The following is an 18,141-nucleotide window of genomic DNA, read 5'->3' as shown; positions in this document are numbered from 1 at the left end:
CAGAAAGAGATAATAAAGTAACTGAGACTCCCTAAATTGAAAAAGTGATGTGAGCAGAAGAAAACTTAGCAGGAATTCCTGCCACAACTGCCCATCAACCGTGCCTGAGTCCATGCTTGGCTCTTCTCCATCTCCATTTCTGGGGCGGAACCACCCTTGCTTCTGTCTCAGGTGAACCCCTCTCCAAAGTGCACCAAGTCACTCTGCTCTCACCTACTCAAAGACATCCCTCCAGCAACTCACACCCCTTTCCTCCATCATCTTTTTCTTCATTACTAGCAGCTTGTAAACATGCTGTCATCTCTCAGCTCAAAAAATCCCTCATGACTCCACTCTCTCCCTTAGCTACCACTCATTTTTCTGATCCTCTCTACACAGAAACTCTAAAGTGTGTTCTATACACACTGTCTCCAACTCCTCTCCTTCCCTGCTCTTTAAGGCTTGCTCTAAGCAGCCTTTTGTGCCTCCATCCCCAGCCTAATAAAACAACTCGTCATCAGTGACTTCCATTTGGCTACATCAAATGATGGACTTTCAGTTTTTTGCTTATTCGACATACTAACAACATATGACATTGCTGACAACTCCCTCCTCCTGGAAATACTTTTCTTTCCTGTCTTCTCTCAGCTCTTCTACTTCTCTGACCTCAGTTATTTATGCAGATCCCTCTTCCTCTCCCTGACCTCTTAAAGTGCCTAGGGCTCAGCCCTTGGTCCTCTTCTCACCCCCATCTTCACTGACTTCCTTGGGGATCTCATCCAGTCTTATGACCTGAAATACCATCTATATGTTGATGGCTTCCAAAGTATATACTTATCCTGGAGCTCCCTACTGAACTCCAATCTTGTGTATCAAACTACCTATCCACACAGTCACTTAGATGTCTAAATGACATCTCAGCTTATCATGTCTATAACCAATCTCTTGATCTTTCCTCCTAAATCTGCAGATAGTCTCTCTCATCTTAGTTAATGGCAGCCATATCCTACCAGTTGCTCAGACCAAAAATTTCGGTGTCATCCTTGATGCCTCTATTTTTAGCCATTACTCAATGTATTAGGAAAATCCCATTGACTTTTCCTTAGAAGCATATCCAGAATCTGACTCTTTCTGCCACTTCCACTGACACCACTGTAGTCTAAGCCATCAGTGTCTCTAATGTGAGCAACTGTAATCCTCTCCTAACTAGTCTCCCTGCTTGCTTGTGCCCTTGTTTCTCTACAGTCTACTTCAACAAAGCGGCCAATGATCTTCTAGAAATTTAAGTCACAGGGTGTCACTTCTATGTTCAAAAATGATCCAATGAGTTCCTCATTTCACTTAGAATTAAAGCTAAGCCCTTCAATGGCCCATGAGGTCTCCCTCCTTCTAGCTCTTACCTCCTGGACCTCATGCACTGCTACTTCCACTTCCACCCCCTCCACTGGGCCCACAACAGCCTCTTCCCTGCTCCTCCTTGATGCCAGGCATGTTGTTGCAGGCCTTTGAACTGGCTGTGCCCTCTGCCTGGGAAGTTCTTCCTTCAGATAGTCACATTACTAACCCCCTACTGCTTTCCAGTCTCCGCCCAAACATCAACTTCTCAGTGCAGCTTACCTACACCAATTTGTTTAAAACTACACTTTCCCAGTCCCTTGGCCCTGGCACTTCCAGCCCCTCTTACTGAGCTCTGTTTTCATCCCTGTAGAATGCTGACCTTCTACTGCACCATAACATTTCCTTTCTTTTTAGGTTTACTCTCTACACCCCCCATCACCTTGCCCAATTCCATGCCTATGAGGAGAAAGTCATCTTCTCTAGGGAAGGGATTGGGCCTTTTTATTTATGGATGTATCCTCATCCCATGCTAGGCATCCAATAAGCCCTTGAAAAACATTTGTTGAATGAATGAATGAAATTCCAAGAAATACTTGTACCTTTCTCATGAAAGTTTGCTTCTATTGTTATTAACATTTATGCCCTAGATAAAATGTTTCTGAAATTGTTGAATAAACCCGAAATTTTGTGCTATACTAGTTAAAAGTTCGTCTTCAATTTTGTTATGCTATTAATTTTTTATGAACACTTTTGGGCAAAGAAAACATTCTATCCAACATTGTTTGAAATATTATAAATTCAAATTAGCAGAGTCCAAATTAATGAGTTCTTAACCATATATGAGAAGCAATAAACTTTTTTTGTTGTTGTTTTGTTTTGTTTTTTTTCCAAGATGGAGTCTCGCTCTGTCGCCCAGGCTGGAGTGCAGTGGCATGATCTTGGCTCACTACAACCTCCGCCTCCCAGGTTCAAGCGATTCTCTTGCCTCAGCCTCTTGAAGAGCTGGGATTACAGGTGCCTACCACCAAGCCTGGCTAATTTTTGTACTGTTAGTAGAGACAGGGTTTCGCCATGTTGGCCAGGCTGATCTCAAACTCCTGACCTCAGGTGATCCACCCACCTCGGCCTCCCAAAGTGCTGGGATTACAGGTGTGAGCCACCACACCTGGCTGCAATGAGCTTTTTAAAAGAAAGATTTAAACAAACGTATGAAAGTTGGTGGTATTTATATTTTAATATTAAGTTATTTTTTCTGATCATAAAATAAATGCTATTATAAATAATCAAAATACAGAAATCAAATAATAATTACATATTAAATAACTCATTAACCCCACATCTGTTACCAATTTTGAGTTTTTTTCTTTTCAGTCTTATTTCTAGGAATGTTTTCTGTGTATGTATAAGTACATACATGCGTACTTATGTATGTATGTATAAGTACATACATGCGTACTTATGTATGTATGTATAAGTACATACATGCGTACTTATGTATGTATAAGTACATACATGCGTACTTATGTATGTATAAGTACATACATGCGTACTTATGTATGTATGTATAAGTACATACATGCGTACTTATGTAGGTATGTATAAGTACATACATGCGTACTTATGTAGGTATGTATAAGTACATACATGCGTACTTATGTAGGTATGTATAAGTACATACATGCGTACTTATGTAGGTATGTATAAGTACATACATGCGTACTTATGTAGGTATGTATAAGTACATACATGCGTACTTATGTAGGTATGTATAAGTACATACATGCGTACTTATGTAGGTATGTATAAGTACATACATGCGTACTTATGTAGGTATGTATAAGTACATACATGCGTACTTATGTAGGTATGTATAAGTACATACATGCGTACTTATGTATGTATGTACAGATAACACATAACTAGGATCATATATATTCAATATTATATTCTACTTGTTTTATTTTAGATTATAATATGCATTTTCTATTCCATTAAAATTCTTTGAGATCTACTTTTTGCAGTTGTAACATTTATAGTACAATTATGTATCATCTATTTCCCTATGGATGGGCATTTTTACTTTGAATATTTTGCCATTGTAATTAACTGTGTGATATCTCTCACTGTGTACATCTCTCTGTGTATATCTTTGCCCACTTCTCCATTTCCTTAACTCTGAAACTCCTAACACACTTAAAAGTGGAATTTCTAAGCCAAAAGGATTTTAAAGCTCTTAATATGTATTACCAAAGTGCTTATAAATTGGAAATAGTACCAATTTATACTTTCACCAGGACTGTATATGATACAACATCATTGTTAATTTGATAAATTAGCATTTCTTTGATTACTTATATTTCCTCTTCTTAGAATTTTCTGTTCATGCCTATTGCCCCTATTTTTGTTTCTGTAAGGCCATCTTTATATTATTCCTATTGAATTATGTGAATTCTTTTAAATTAAGGATATTAACTCTTTGTCTATTTCATGTTTTTAAAACCTGATGGCAACATTCAGGTCAAAGTGGGGGGTGGAAAATATGGCTCTAAGAGGCGTATTTATATTTGATGTAGCTCTAATTGCTAAGTTTTATTATTAATTACTACACTGTCATGCAGACACAGAGGTATTAATGTGCATTTCATGCTAATAATAGTGGTATGATTCCAAGATGCATAGTTTGTAAATCAGTTTGTTAACCCTACCACAGAAGGAGTGCAAGTGGTATCTAGGAAAGACGGTTTATTGCTACCTATTGAAGGGATGATTTAGTGCTAATAACCATATTTTTTATGGATTACATGATAATTAACCAAAAGCTTTAATACATTATGTGGAGATGACAAAGATAAATACTAAGTTTACAACTTTGTAACAGTAACACTTACTATGTTGTCACTGGGAAAATAATTAAACCTACCTGTTGGTATTGGTTAAAATAGGTCCTGCTTTTCCTTCTGGGGCCACAGTGATGAAGACTGTGCCACACTGATGTACAACATCCACATACACATAGCCAAAGCCAGTCAGGAACACAACCTGCAGAAAGAATATTCAAAATCTGATTAAAAAGAAATAAGAAACACTATTGAAGTGGCTTGACTTCAAATGTCTCCAGTTCTGATTCAATACCACAAACAATTCCTGGTTATATTTCTTTATATCCATGTGTACGGGCTATTCAGTTGACTTGAAATGAAAAAAAATACCCAAAAGATCAAAACCAGATTTTTCAATATTCAGCTGTAAGGTTCATAGAAAAAAATGATGGATGATGGGGCATGAGTATCTTCATTCTCTGCTTCTTTGGAACTGGCAAGTAACTCTGTGTGGGCTGGAGTTCAGACATGGGGCCCACTATATGTGTGCATATGGATCTTTGTGGGAAAAAAACTAAAACTTGGGACTTGAAGTGCAATGTGCAAACAACTTTCAGGCTCTTGGGTGTTGACTTACTTCTATAGGGGTGTCCTTCTGGGCTAGGGACACAAAAACATACCTCAAAACCCACCTAGGAGCATATCACAACCCCTCTAGGGTCTTTCATGTAACTCGTAACAAGAATGTTAGATATAAGTTAATTTGCTCGGAGTAAAAAATTAATTTTTCTACCATGAGAATATGGACTAAGACCTAGAAAAAAGCTCTACCTCAGGATCCAGGTGCCAGACAGTGGAACAAACACCCTTTCAGTATTAAATAGTGAGTTGCTTAAATGGGTAAATATTTGAAAACAGAACAGGGCTATTTAAAAAACAACTCCAAGAACATCATGTTCACAGCCAGGATTACCTGAGGGTAGGGGCAAAAACCTCCTTATGCTTGGGAAGGCTGGTTCTGATGATTTGCAGTATCAATTCAGTCCAAGTCTGGGCCCTATGTTATTATTAGGGCAGCAAATAAAATCAGACATACTGAAAATTCCTGGATGACGGAACAAAGGTGGCCTCTTGCTTGACCAACAATGAATATATTCTAATTTTGATCACATGAAGAAGCACCAGAGTGTACACAGAACCACAGGAGAAAGCCAGAGAGTTATTTGGAAGCAACTTCAAGGTCACTGGTCTTCTTTCTCATGCAATGGCTTTCTCATGGACTTCAGAAATTCAGAATTTCTGACCATCTTCAGCATGCAGGTTACCTGGATGTCATCTCTGCCTTCTCCCTCTGCTCCTTGCTGCAGCCCAGCCCCTCCAGCTCTTCCTGGTTCTTCCACTGCTGCCTTCTTTTTCATTTTACAGCCTCTGCTTCAGCTGAGGCCCTTGCCTGCCACTCACTACTCACCACGCCTAGAATATACTTTTCTCCATATAAGTCCTTTCAAAAGCCTGTATGTCCTGGTGCATACAGCTTAAAGGATAGCTTACTCCATAGAGCCATTCCTTAATTTTTCTGTTCCCTTCTGGACTGACACCTACTTCTACATTCTAAAACAATTTTAACCATATTTCTATTTGATCAAAAATATTATTGTCTGTACTACAGTTACTTATGTGTCTGACCCAATTATTAGATTGTAAATCTCTTGACAGCAGAAATGGAGTCCATTTGTTGTATCTGTATTCTCTATGAACACGTTTCCCAAATGGACTGTTTTGCAAAAATATCTTTTTCAAAAGACTTGTATTCTGAATTTGCCCTATTTGTTCCAAGGTAAAAATTAAACTTACAATAAAATTTGAGAATAAACATAATTAATGGCTTAAAAATGGCTCAGCTCATGAATCTAAAACAAAAGAGATATTCTTTAAGAAATATTCCTATCTATAAACACCATCCCTTTGTATGATACATAAGGTAAATCAATTGCTTTTCTTTACTAGGTTGAAAGATATGAAATTATCCATTCAGTAGAAACCTTTTTAAGTCCCATGCTCCCATCTCATATTCCTTTTCCTAAGTCACCGTCCATAACTTCAGGACCCCTTAGAGGAGAGAGGGAGGGGATGCGAATAGAGAAATATTTACTGTTCTCTTCTCTAAGTGATTTTCAGGCATTATGAAATGAGGATACTTACACTTTCTAAGATAATAAACCTAAGGTAAGGTGATGGTTTCTGTTAAATGCCCCAAGGGCCTTCTGAAGGCAAGCAAATTAATCTGAACTTTCACGGTACTTCTTCTGGCAAAAAACCTAGACTCTGGAGGGAAATTTTTGCTTGTTGTCCCTTTCACTCACTGCTATGAATGGAAGAAACACAGACTTTAGTCTATCCTTGTCTTTTCACATTTAGAGAAACAACTCACACCTTGTAGCCTTTTGCATGATGGCAGCTCTAGGGGTTAGATAGTTAGGTACCTGAGTGATACAGGAATTAGGCATCTATATCCAGGTTCCCCACAAGTCCAAAGTAAATCCTTATCTTGGTCTAATGGTTTGAACAATCAATTACTTGACAAACACTTAAAGAGTGCCTACAAAGAATTAGTCACTGCATCAGGCACAGAGAAGATGCAATCCTACCCTCGCACTGCTCACAGCCTAGTTGGCGAAAAAGCCAAGTACACAAACAATGAGATGACAACTAACAATTCCAGACCACAGGTGTATAAAATGCGTCTCCCTCTCAGTGTATTCACCATCATGGACTCTGTGTAAGTTCCATGAGGGCAATGGTTTTGTGTGTGTTTTCTTCAGTACTTACAACCAGTGCCGGGTACTCAATAAAGATAAAGCTGATGATCTGAACATACATCTTCTCAATGTGGCTTCTGCTGTATTGACTTCTAGTGTCCACACATGTCTAGCTCTTCTCTCCTTCTGGGAATAGAGCAGGATTATACTCCCCGCCACCCCTGCAGTTAGATATGGTCTTGTGACTAGTTTTGGCCAATGGGCTAAAGGCAGAATTGACATGTATTCCTTCTAGAGAATAAATAAGGGCTTTATGTTCCACAGCTCAGTGGTGGGCCAAATCTGGTCCACTGCCTGCTATTGTGAATAAGGCTTTATTGGAACATGCTCATTTACTTACATATCTCTCCATCTATTGAGAAGTCGGGAAAACATAAGGCCTGCAAAACCTAAAATATTTACAATCCAGACCTTAAAAAAATATTTGTTGACTCCTGCTCTAGATAGCTGTGGAAGACTGTTGCACAATGAATTGTACATCCCAGTATCCATGCCCTTGTGTAGTACCTTCCCATACTGACATTGGGCGTGGCTATGCGACTTTCTTCAGCTAACATGACATCAGCAAGTAAGAAGCTTGATACAGCTTGCTTATTGGGGTTTTCCTGCTTGCCACCCTGGGCTAGCCTCCTTAAGGAGGACAGACAGAATGGTGAGAGAGACACCCAGACTTCCCAGCTGCACCCATACCTCAGCCAACTCTCTAGGTGAATGCAGATGCACGAGTGATCCCAGGCTCATCCTGCAGAAAAGTCACTTGGCCACTTCCTCAGAATCTTGAGAAGTTGTTAATCATTCTTCTTTTAAGCCAGTAGGTTTTGGGGTGGTTAGTTACAAGGGGGAAGATACGAGATGATGGACTTTCCCTCAACCTGGGTCCCTGAGTGACCATGTAGAACAAAACCCCCTGAGGACACACACTAGGCATTTAGCATGAACAAGAGGTAAGTTCTAGGCTTATGATAGGCAGCATAACTGAGCTTATACTACTAATATAGATATTGTTGATAGAAGTAGTGTTCTAGCAAAATCCTACAACAGGAGACCCTGGCTTAATGGTCAGACAGTAGAAATCGATATTGAAAGCTATAAAAATGGGCATATATGTTTTGAAGTGGTAAGATATTCAGTAAAACTGTTGCTTGAGATGACTTGAGAGGTAGATCATAAACTTCATAAATCTGTAGCTCTAGAAGATGAGGTCTGAAAACCAAGCATCAGTGGTGTTATGTTGGCTGCTGTTGCCTGTGTCTGGAACATTACGTTTTGTTTTATGAAGAGATGAGCTCAGGAAAGAATTGGCCAGGTTGCAAATAAAAATGGAAGATAATAGAGAGATTCCAGAAATGTAGAACCTTGCAAAGTTAGAAATAATTTTAAACCTGCTATGGTCTGAATGTTTGTGTTCCCCCAAAATTCATACGCTGAAATTCTAGCCCCCCAATGTGATGATATTAGAAGGCAGGGTCTTTGGGATGCAATTAGTGTCCTTATAAAAGAAGCCTGAGGCCGGGGGCGGTAGCTCACGCCTGTAATCTTAGCACTTCGGGAGGCTGAGGCGGGCGGATTGCCTGAGATCAGGAGTTCGGGACCAGCCTGACTGACACATGGTAAAACCTCATCTCTCCTAAAAATACAAAAATTAGCTGGGCATGGTGGCGGGTGCCTGTAATCCCAGCTACTCGGGAGGCTGAGGCAGGAGAATCACTTGAACCCGGGAGGCGGAGGTTGCAGTGAGCCGAGACCGGGCCACTGCACTCCATCCAGCCTGAGCAACAAGAGTGAAACTCCGTCTCAAAAAAAAAAAAAAAAAGCCTGAGAAAGCCCCTCATCCCTTCCATCATGTGAGGTTACAGTGAAAAGATGGTCATCCATGAACTAGGAAGTGGGTCCTCACCAGATACCGAATCTGCCAGTACCCTGATGTTGGACTTCCTAGACTCCAGAACTGTGACAATAAGTTTCTGTTGTTTATAAGCTACCAGTCTGAGGTATTTTGATATAGCAGCCTGAACAGACTAAGATAAAGCCTCAAATAGCAAGGTCTAAACTTAGCCTCTGAACACGAAGGCAGATTAACACTCAGCCTTAAGACTGACTATAGGCAACACACTCACTGTTAAAACTTAACTGTTATATTGACTTGGAAAAAAATGTAAATCAAGGGTATAACTTTCCTGTAGAAGCTCTCTTAAATCCAGAGAGGAAGGAAGCAAGTAAGCAAAGAAATGTGTCTTAAGGACCATGAATATGGTTCCTGGCACAGGGAATTTTCTGGAACCAAATAGGTAAGAAGTCTACTGAGTTGAGAAATTACCACTGCCCTATATACTTACAAACCTGGAGTAAAAGAGACTGTGATTATGTGAGATGAAACACAAACTTCAAGTGTCCAAGGAAGATCTCCCAGAAGGTGGAGCCAGGAACCTGAAGGACAATGGTAAGAGCTCCTTCAGGATTAGAAACAGTGCTCAGTGAAAGCTGATTTCTTGCTGCCAGGGTATAGACCCCACAATATGTGCCCAGAAAACATTCAGAACTGCCATAGGCAAGAGACTGCCGTATGTCTCTCATTCTTCCCCCTTCCACAGTGGAGGGGTTATTACTGTTACCCTGTCCTATAAAACAGCAGGGAAAGGGGGAGCAGGTAATTCCATAGGTCTCCAGATCAAAGGGCATCACATACAGACTGAGCATCGCTTAGAAGTGCTAGACTTCAAGGGTGATGGAGTGACTGCTTCCAACCTTGCGGGGAAGATTTGTTCTGTGTGTGGGGAAAAAAATAATTAATGACTGATGGCCAAGGGGATTTTTTTTTCAGCTGTTTGTTATCACAGAATAACCCGGCCAGTCCTGATCAATGCCATCATTTGGTTCTTTTTACTTTCTTCACTAGTAGGGTGAGGTGGGGTGGCATGGAAGGCTCTAGGTGACATATACTAAGAGACTCACCGTTTTGCCATTTGAATCTGTGTTAGAGCACTTCAGTCAGCAAGACACTATCATATTTATTTTTTGAGAGAGGGTCTCAGTCTCACTCTGTTACCCAGGATGGAGTGAAGTGGCACGATCATGGCTCACTGCAACCTCCGCCTCCCTGGGCTCAGGTGATCCTCCCACCTCAGCCTCCTGAGTAGCTGGGATTACAGGCGTTTGCCACCATGTCCAGCTAAGTTTTGTATTTTTCATAGCAACAGAATTTTGCCATGTTGCCCGTGCTGGTCTCAAACTCCTGGGCTCAAGCAATCTGCCTGTCTTAATCTCCCAAAGTGCTGGGATTACAGGCATAAGTCTCTGTGCTCAGCCCCATCATACATATGTTAGGTCTAAGAAAACCATTTGAGGCCTGGATACTGGTTTCTACTTAGTACAATATCTTCTACCACAATTACTAACAAGAAGCATTTTAATATAACTTCTGCTTTTCTATGTACTCAGTTATCTTTATTTGAATGATTATTTATATGTAACAAATTTTTTAGAATTATAACAATTTTACTAAGTAAATTAATTACAAGGTGACAAAGAAAATAGTGGGAAGTTTTTTGTTTTTTTAAAAAATAGAGACGGGTTTTGCTCTGTTAACCAGGCCGGAATGCTGTGGCGTGATCATAGCTCAAGGCAGTCTCCAACTTCTGGGCTCAAGTGATCCTCCCACCTTAGCATCCTGAGTAGTTGGGAATAGAGGTGTGCACCACCACGCTTGGTGATTTTTTTTTTTTTTAATTTCTGTAGAGACAGGGGTTCTTGCTATGTTGCCCAGATGGGTCTCAAACTCCTGGCCCCACGTGATGCTCCTGCCTCAGCCTCCTGAAGTGTTGGGATTATAGGCATAAGCCATTGCACCTAGTCTCCCTACTTTTGAACATTTAAGTTGCAGATAGTATCACACTCATCTTTTGCTGCAAGTTGATATGTCTAAACTGATCTGAAAATATGCTACTTAGGCATTTTATTTGTGCAGCTGACTTTGGGCTAAAAGTCATTTCTTACAAAAAATATCATCTCCCATTTTGGGAAGGAATAAATTTAAAATGTACTACTGATATCTCTATATATGTGGTTTGTAAAAGAGTATCTTAACTAGGAAACCATGCTATGGAAGAATTATAGACTTAGACTTTGAAAGGCGGGAAGAGGTGATTGAGCCCTGGCCTGTAGAGGGGGAACAGGAGTGAGACGGGGCCTGATTGGTCTCAGGTGGAGGTCTGTTTTAAGCAACCTGGTGGACTGGGTTCTCTTCTCTGGGCTGGAGTCTGTGTCTTAGGAATCATTTGGGGGTTAGTTACAGAGAGAGACTTGAGGTTGGAGAGGCTGACAATGGAGAGACCTATTAAGGCGCTATGGCTAAAATCTGGGAGGGAGATGATGAACCAAAGGCCTGAAGCAGACCCCAGTCACAGAAGAAAGGGGCAGATTCCAGAGACGTTTCTGAGATATTTCTGATAGAAGCTGGTGGCCTACTGGATGTGTGGAGGATCAGAGAGAAAGGAAGACACTGAGAAGCAGTAGGCAGAAGGTAGGCTGGGAAACCACACAGTCCCAGGTTTGAATCCCAGGACCATTTATCCTGAGCAAGTTCACCTCTCAGAGCTTTGGGTAGCATCTACTTTTAAAGGATGTGACAGGGACTAATGACTATACCTTTAGAGAGCTTGAGATAAAACAGGCATTCAATATTATCTGAATCCATTTTATTTATGGTTTTTGTACTGGGAAAACAGTGATGACATTAACTGATGCAGAGACTCTAGAAGAAGCTGGCTTGGGGTAAGAAAAATGATCATCTTGGTTTCAGATGTGTTGATTTCAGATGCTTGTAGGATTTTCAGGCTGACATGTCTAGTGGGTAGGCAGAAGCACAGATTTGTACACTGGGAGTAATATGGGGCCCGGAGATCAATTTCTGGGAGTGACTGGGTGACAGGCAGTAGCTAAAGCTATGAGGTGAATTAGATATCCAAGAGAAGAAAGGAAGATGAATTTCTAAGTTGATCAAGGTAGGAAGGATTGGACAGAGATGAAAAGAAAACAGTGGATATTCTGGATGTAATTTTTCCTACTGTATACTTCTTGAAAAACATCTTAGGGAAATCACTACTCCTGAGTATCTTTGGAAACAGTTGTGACTCAGCCAGAACAAACTGTAAACACAGAGGAGACTCTAGACCAGGGTACCTAGCAGACATTCAGAAGTCAGTGCCAACTTGCTGGTATCTGTTCGACTGTGCCCTGGAGTACTGGGAAGGTGAGCGAAGTAAGCAAGAAGTCAAAATACCTGCATTACACATTTTATAAATCAGATATTCACCTGCACTGACTTTTTTTCTTTATAAAAATTCCTGAATTGGAGGGTAGACATAACTCTGAAAATTACTACCTGCTGCTTTAAGCTTTAGTGTTCAAGGTTACCTCTGTGTGATCTGCACCAAATGGACAGATTACACATTTGAGTCCTGGTTCATCAAGGCACTTAACAAAGTATGTTCTGATATTCTTGTAGATAATATCTTATACTGTATAGTTTAAAAGTGATTTTAGATGCATTTTCTTATTTAAGAAACATGGGCTAGATGAGAGTGGAGTCTGGCTGATTGACCCCATGCATTCGGGAAGTGTCTAATGATTCACTGCAGTATGTCAACCATGAACTTGTCCTGTTCAACATATTTATTAATGACCTGGATGAACATGTAGAATGCACGCTCACCACATCTATGGATGACATAAAGCTACCAGGAATACTTAATATGTTAGATGACAGCATCACAATTTTTTAAAAAGTGATTTCAACAAGCTGGACTAGGCCAATATCAACAAGACTTAATTTATTTGGGATAAATGTAAAGTCCTGTCTTTGGGTTCAAAAAGTCAACTGTATAGCAAGTCATATGATAAAGACCTGGGGGATGTGGTTGACCACAAGTTCAATAATAACAGACAGTCTGAACTCATTAATAAAAAGCTAACTCTATCTTTTACTTTATTAATGGAAGCATAGGGAGTTAATAGCTGGTTAGACCACATTTGGAATACTGTGTGTAATTCCGGCTGCCAGATTTTTAAAAGGGAACATAACACACTAGAGTGTTCACACAAGGGTAACTGTGGTGATGGGTGTGGAAATTGCATTTACTGAAGGAATGATTCAAGGAACCAGAAATGTTTGGCCTGGATAAGGGAACACTTAGGAAAGATGTTGGAGCTGCCTTCAAATAATTGTAGCGTTGCTGTATTTGAGGGGAAATAAACAATCTGTGATGTCCCAGAGGGCAAAACAAAGATGAATGAATGGATGCTACAGAGTAATAGTTTTCAGATTGATACAAGAAGAAAATTTCTCATAGCCACCACTGGATAAGTAATGACTATTACACTGGGAGCCTTCTGGGGTGAGATGTCATGGAAGGGATTCTTGCATTAGGTGAATGCGGAGATCAGAAAATCTCTTCTAACCTGTGCTTTGATGAACTTTCAGGCAGCTACTATTTGTAGCCAAGGCAAGACTTCAGAGGACAGACAGTGGCTTGAGCCTGGTGTAGGAAAAACAGGACTAGACCACATGGGAGCAGATTTAGGCTCCGGCTTGCTCCTGCTTAGTTGCAAGTCACCTAGCTGATTACTCTTTAAGCCTCAAATCTCTCATCAGTAAATAGACATAAAACTTATTGCCCTTAGAATTTTTGCAGTGATCAAAGGCTTTATCTTCCCTTTACTGCATTTATTGGTTATTCAAGTCTTTGAAGGCAGGAATTGTGCCTTATTTAGGGCAAAGGGTTTGGCACCTGATAGGTCCTCAGTAAAAGTTTGAACAAATGAATAAAAGAATGGAGACTGTGCCTGTGAAAACACTTGGTAAATGGCACAGAGCTGTAGAAACATGAAGGACTGTCATTCTCTCCTCCCCACAAAACAATCCATTTGCGAAGAAACAGCAGTGACACTGACCCGACTACGAATGTCTGCTAAGAGTCAAAGATCATGAGAATTTACTGGATCTTTTCAGAAGGGAATTTACCTGCAAAGGGGTCATTTTAATTCACTTTCTGGGGTTCAAACTACTCATTCTTTGCAGTTCAGTGGCTCAGCAAGTACTTTTCATAAACAATGCAATGACTTCCCATGACTCTTAAGATCAAAACCAAAATCCTTGATAGGACCTACGGGGCCTTGCCAGGTTTGGTCTCTCATCGCCTCACCAGCCCTCTCTCCGACCCTCTGTCATTTGGCGCTACAGCCGCACTGGCATTTAGTTCCCTGAAAGGACCACGTGCCCTCTGAACACTGAAGCTTCAAACACATTGCTCTTTCTACCTGGAAAGATTCCCTACTCTCTTGCCTAGGGAGTGCCTGTTCACCTTGAAGGCACAGAGGCAAGGTCTCTCAGTAAGAGACACCCTCCTTGACCTCTCAAACTTGTCTGCTGTACACCCACATAGCACAACTGTACCTTTCCTGCATAGCTCTTTGTAGTGCTTATAATACAACTACCCGTGCAATTACTTGCTTATTATCTATCTCCTCCACAGGTAAACTTGAGGGCAGGGGCTGTGCTACATTTTTGTTCAGTATATTTTACATGGTGCCAGTACCAAGTTATAATGTCTGGCATATGTTAGAAACTCAGTATTTGTTGACTGAATGAATGAAGCAGGCTTCTCAATGTTGTTGGTAGTTAAGTGGTAACTACTATGTTTTCTTTGTTCCTTATTTTGACTTTTTCAAAATAATGTTGCCTAATTCTGACAAAAGTGGTTTCAGAGTATCAGAAATTAAAATCCTATACACTATGACAGGAGTCTGAACTATTTTCCTGGTAGGATCAAAATTATGACTTAAAATTATTGGTGTAAACTTACTTTTATGACTTTATTTATTGAGCACCTAAAGACTGTTTTTGTCCTAAAGTCAGGCTACCACTAACTATCAAATCATGGGTATGAGCACCAGGTGCCACCTTCAGGTCTCTGGTTGAATAACCATGAGATGTCTCCTGACTAGGTGTGAGCCAGGGATTCAACCACAGAAAGCCCACAGCAACTTCACAATCGGTATTCTGCAGCCTACATGTTAGCAGGTCTTCTCAATAACTGTTGGTCCAAAGAATACTCTGTGAGAGTATACAACTCCTATGTGCATATTTCCTCATGCAATCCATTTCAAAATTCTACAACACGAGACTATCTTATTTATACAATGGAAGCAGAGGGCTTGACTGAAAAAAGTTAAAGGAGTTTTCTTCCTTGCAGCATAATGGGCATTTTATGGTGTTTTGATTTTGCTTGTTTAGGTCAGCTTTGAAATTCACAGACCAATGGCTGAGGAAGGTTCCTGGAAGACAAACTCCCTCCTCCAGAAGGACTGCTCCTTCCTTTCATCAGAGGACACAGCTCCTTTTGCTTCCCAGTGATTTATATGCCCTGGGATATTACTGAGGAGATGTCGGTGAGGGTCTGAAACAAATCTTCCTCCAGAGTAGGAAGTAAACCACGGTCTGCAGGACATATGGCACACAGCTCCTAAAAGATTAATGGGAACATGAGACTGCTGGGTCCTCAAACCACAGATGATAAGGGTGTTGGAAAGAGCACCTCCTCTTAGCTTTGAAGTATCCCTGACTACAAAGTTTTGAGGAAATTTAGAGTGAATGGGAATCCCCAAAATAAGGTTTGACAGGAAGAATGTCTATCGTAAAGAATTCCCCAGTCAAATATAAGCAAGATTTCAAAAATCTTCAAACCCATGCAGGGGAGTTCAGAGACCCTTGAGAAGCTTGCAATATTTATTTTGTAAATTAATGAGACTGGGAGCATCTCCTGAGGCTGCACAGATCCCGCGGGTTTTCACTGTTCAGCCCCTGAACACAGCTGATAGAAAGCACACCCCTGAGTAGTTTGTGGCCACTACAAACGCAGGTCTCCAGGGTGAGTGTGGCCCTCCAGTGCACTCAACCATCCCTTCCCCTGTCTCCAGCCAGGCCCTTCACCAGTTTCCACAGCTACTGCTCTTCTCAGGCCCCTCTCTTTTTCCTTCTCTCCCTTAGCAGATCAGTCATTCCACATTTCACAAATACACTTCACAGGAGCTTTAATGAAATCTTGAGAGATGAGAAAAAATGCACCAGGAGGACTGGGAAAGAGGGGTTCCAAGGGGTTTCATGTAAGGAAACAGCATGCATTGTGCTCAGAGCACCGGCTTTGCAGTCTGGCAAAACTGGATAAAATTCCAGGCCTTTTGCTTCCACTACATGCAAATTAGACCAAGGTACTTCTGGAGGTCTTAGTTTCTACTTCTCCCTCCGTGGAGATGATAGTCACTAACTTGTATGGCTGTTGTCAAGGTTAGATGAGAATGAATGTAAAGTGCTTAGCACAATGCCTCGTATGGTGTAAGTGATTATTCAATGATAACCATTATTATTACTACCGTAAATGCATTTGTAACTTTAATATATGGTTTGTAACCATTACAGTAGCCTACCTCACAAGCTTGTCGTGAAGACCAGATGAACTAATAAATGTGGAAGAACTTTTTAAAAAAGTATGGCACAATATTATTCACTCATAAAAACAAATGAAGTTCTGATCCATGCTAAAACATGAACGAAACTTGAGAACATTATGCTAGGTGAAATAAGCCAGACACAAAATGATGAATATTTTATGATTCTACTTATCTGAGATACTTAGAGCAGGCAAATTCATAGAGACAGAGACAAAGAAGAAGAGAGCTACCAGGGGATGGAGGAGGGGAGAATGGGGAATTATTGCTTAGTGGGTACAGAGTTTCTGTTTGAAATGATAAAGAAGTTTCAGAAATAGTGGTGATGGTTATACAACACTATAAATATATTTAATGTCACTAAATTATACACTAACAAATGGTAAATTTTAAGTCCAGAAGAAAGGAAATGCTAAGTTCTTATGCCATTTTCAACAAAATTAGTATCACTAACATCCAGACGAAGACAGAAACAAATCAAGACATTTTATCTGCTCAGGTTTTTAAAACTGTACTTATATTTGTGGGGTTTTACTAATTTTAAAATTACTAATTTTAAAATACACATATTTATCCTAATAACACACAAAAGAGGATTTGTATTATGACTGTACTAAAATCTGTACAGCTGAACTATGTTCTATCTAAATAAGCCTAACAATTTGATTTCCATTTCAACCTTGGATTAGATCCAAGATGGGCCTGCTTTTACTAGTGCTCCTCTCTAGTCAATGATTGTGTAGTCTACTTTGCAGATACATACTTGAGTTTGAGAATTTATAACTTAATGAGGACGTAAAAATGGATACACATGTTCTCTCACACAGAGAAAAGATGTTCAGCATTTAGAAAATTATGTTTAAAAATAGGCAACTGACAAAACCTCAGAAAAGGGCATTTTTCTTTGGGTCTTGGCAGGAACACATGGCTCACTGACCTGTGTTCCCTGACTGTTGATGTCAATGGCATCACTCCACTCAGTTGTTACTTCATCTAGAGGTTCAACTCTCAAAAGTAGGCTTGGAAGTAAGTCTTTGGTCTTGCAGTCCGGATAACTGGAAATCTGATGATACAGCTCATGATGAATTGAGCACTCGGAGGGAATTTTTTTGCAATAAACCTCAAACTTTGGAATATCTGAAATTTTAAAAAAGGCATATGCAGAATTAGCCCTTAAAGACAGAGACTTGGGGGACAGAACATAATGTGGCAAAAGAAACTTCTCAAAAAGAGATCATTAATGCTTTTATTTAAATATTTTTTTCACAGGATCACAGGTAACTACTAAATCAAAAAATCCCAGAAAAAATACACATTTAGTATTATCTAAATTCGATAGTATAAAACATACCTTTAATGTTTTCCTTTATAAGCATTTTTACTGGACATCTATTGTGGATAATTACTCGAGGACTAGGGTCTTCTGAGAGGGTTAAATAAGTCACTCCGAGGTGTTCTTGATATGTCAGCACTATAGCCCTGGAAGAGAATCAAGTCAAATGACAGAAATGTTTAGGAAAAAAAATGAATGCTCTCTCCTCTGGAACATGTTTATTTAGATTTGCAACATTCAGAACTCGAAAATATCTGTTTTATAACTCAGGGGAGATTCCTTTTCTGATAACAGTAACATATTTATAATATTCATAAAATGTGAAAAAATATTTAAAGGCAAACAAAATAAT

At 40.0% G+C, this 18,141-nt stretch overlaps 1 protein-coding gene across 2 annotated transcripts in view; it reads right to left on the bottom strand.

The window, feature by feature from the left end:
* Positions 1-18,141, bottom strand: part of VPS13B (vacuolar protein sorting 13 homolog B) — an 864,307-nt gene that overhangs the window by 24,449 nt on the left and 821,717 nt on the right. For both annotated transcript variants that reach the window (NM_152564.5, NM_017890.5), the window contains exons 53-55: positions 17,808-17,935; positions 17,394-17,593; positions 4,238-4,356 (exon numbers count right to left, since the gene is read on the bottom strand). In NM_152564.5, the coding sequence (NP_689777.3) occupies positions 4,238-4,356; positions 17,394-17,593; positions 17,808-17,935 (447 nt within the window). The remainder of the gene's footprint in view (positions 1-4,237; positions 4,357-17,393; positions 17,594-17,807; positions 17,936-18,141) is intronic.

The sequence above is a fragment of the Homo sapiens genome, chromosome 8 (genome assembly GCF_000001405.40).
Source record: "Homo sapiens chromosome 8, GRCh38.p14 Primary Assembly".
Classification (NCBI taxonomy): domain Eukaryota; kingdom Metazoa; phylum Chordata; class Mammalia; order Primates; family Hominidae; genus Homo; species Homo sapiens.
This window is presented reverse-complemented; position numbering and strand designations above follow the sequence as displayed.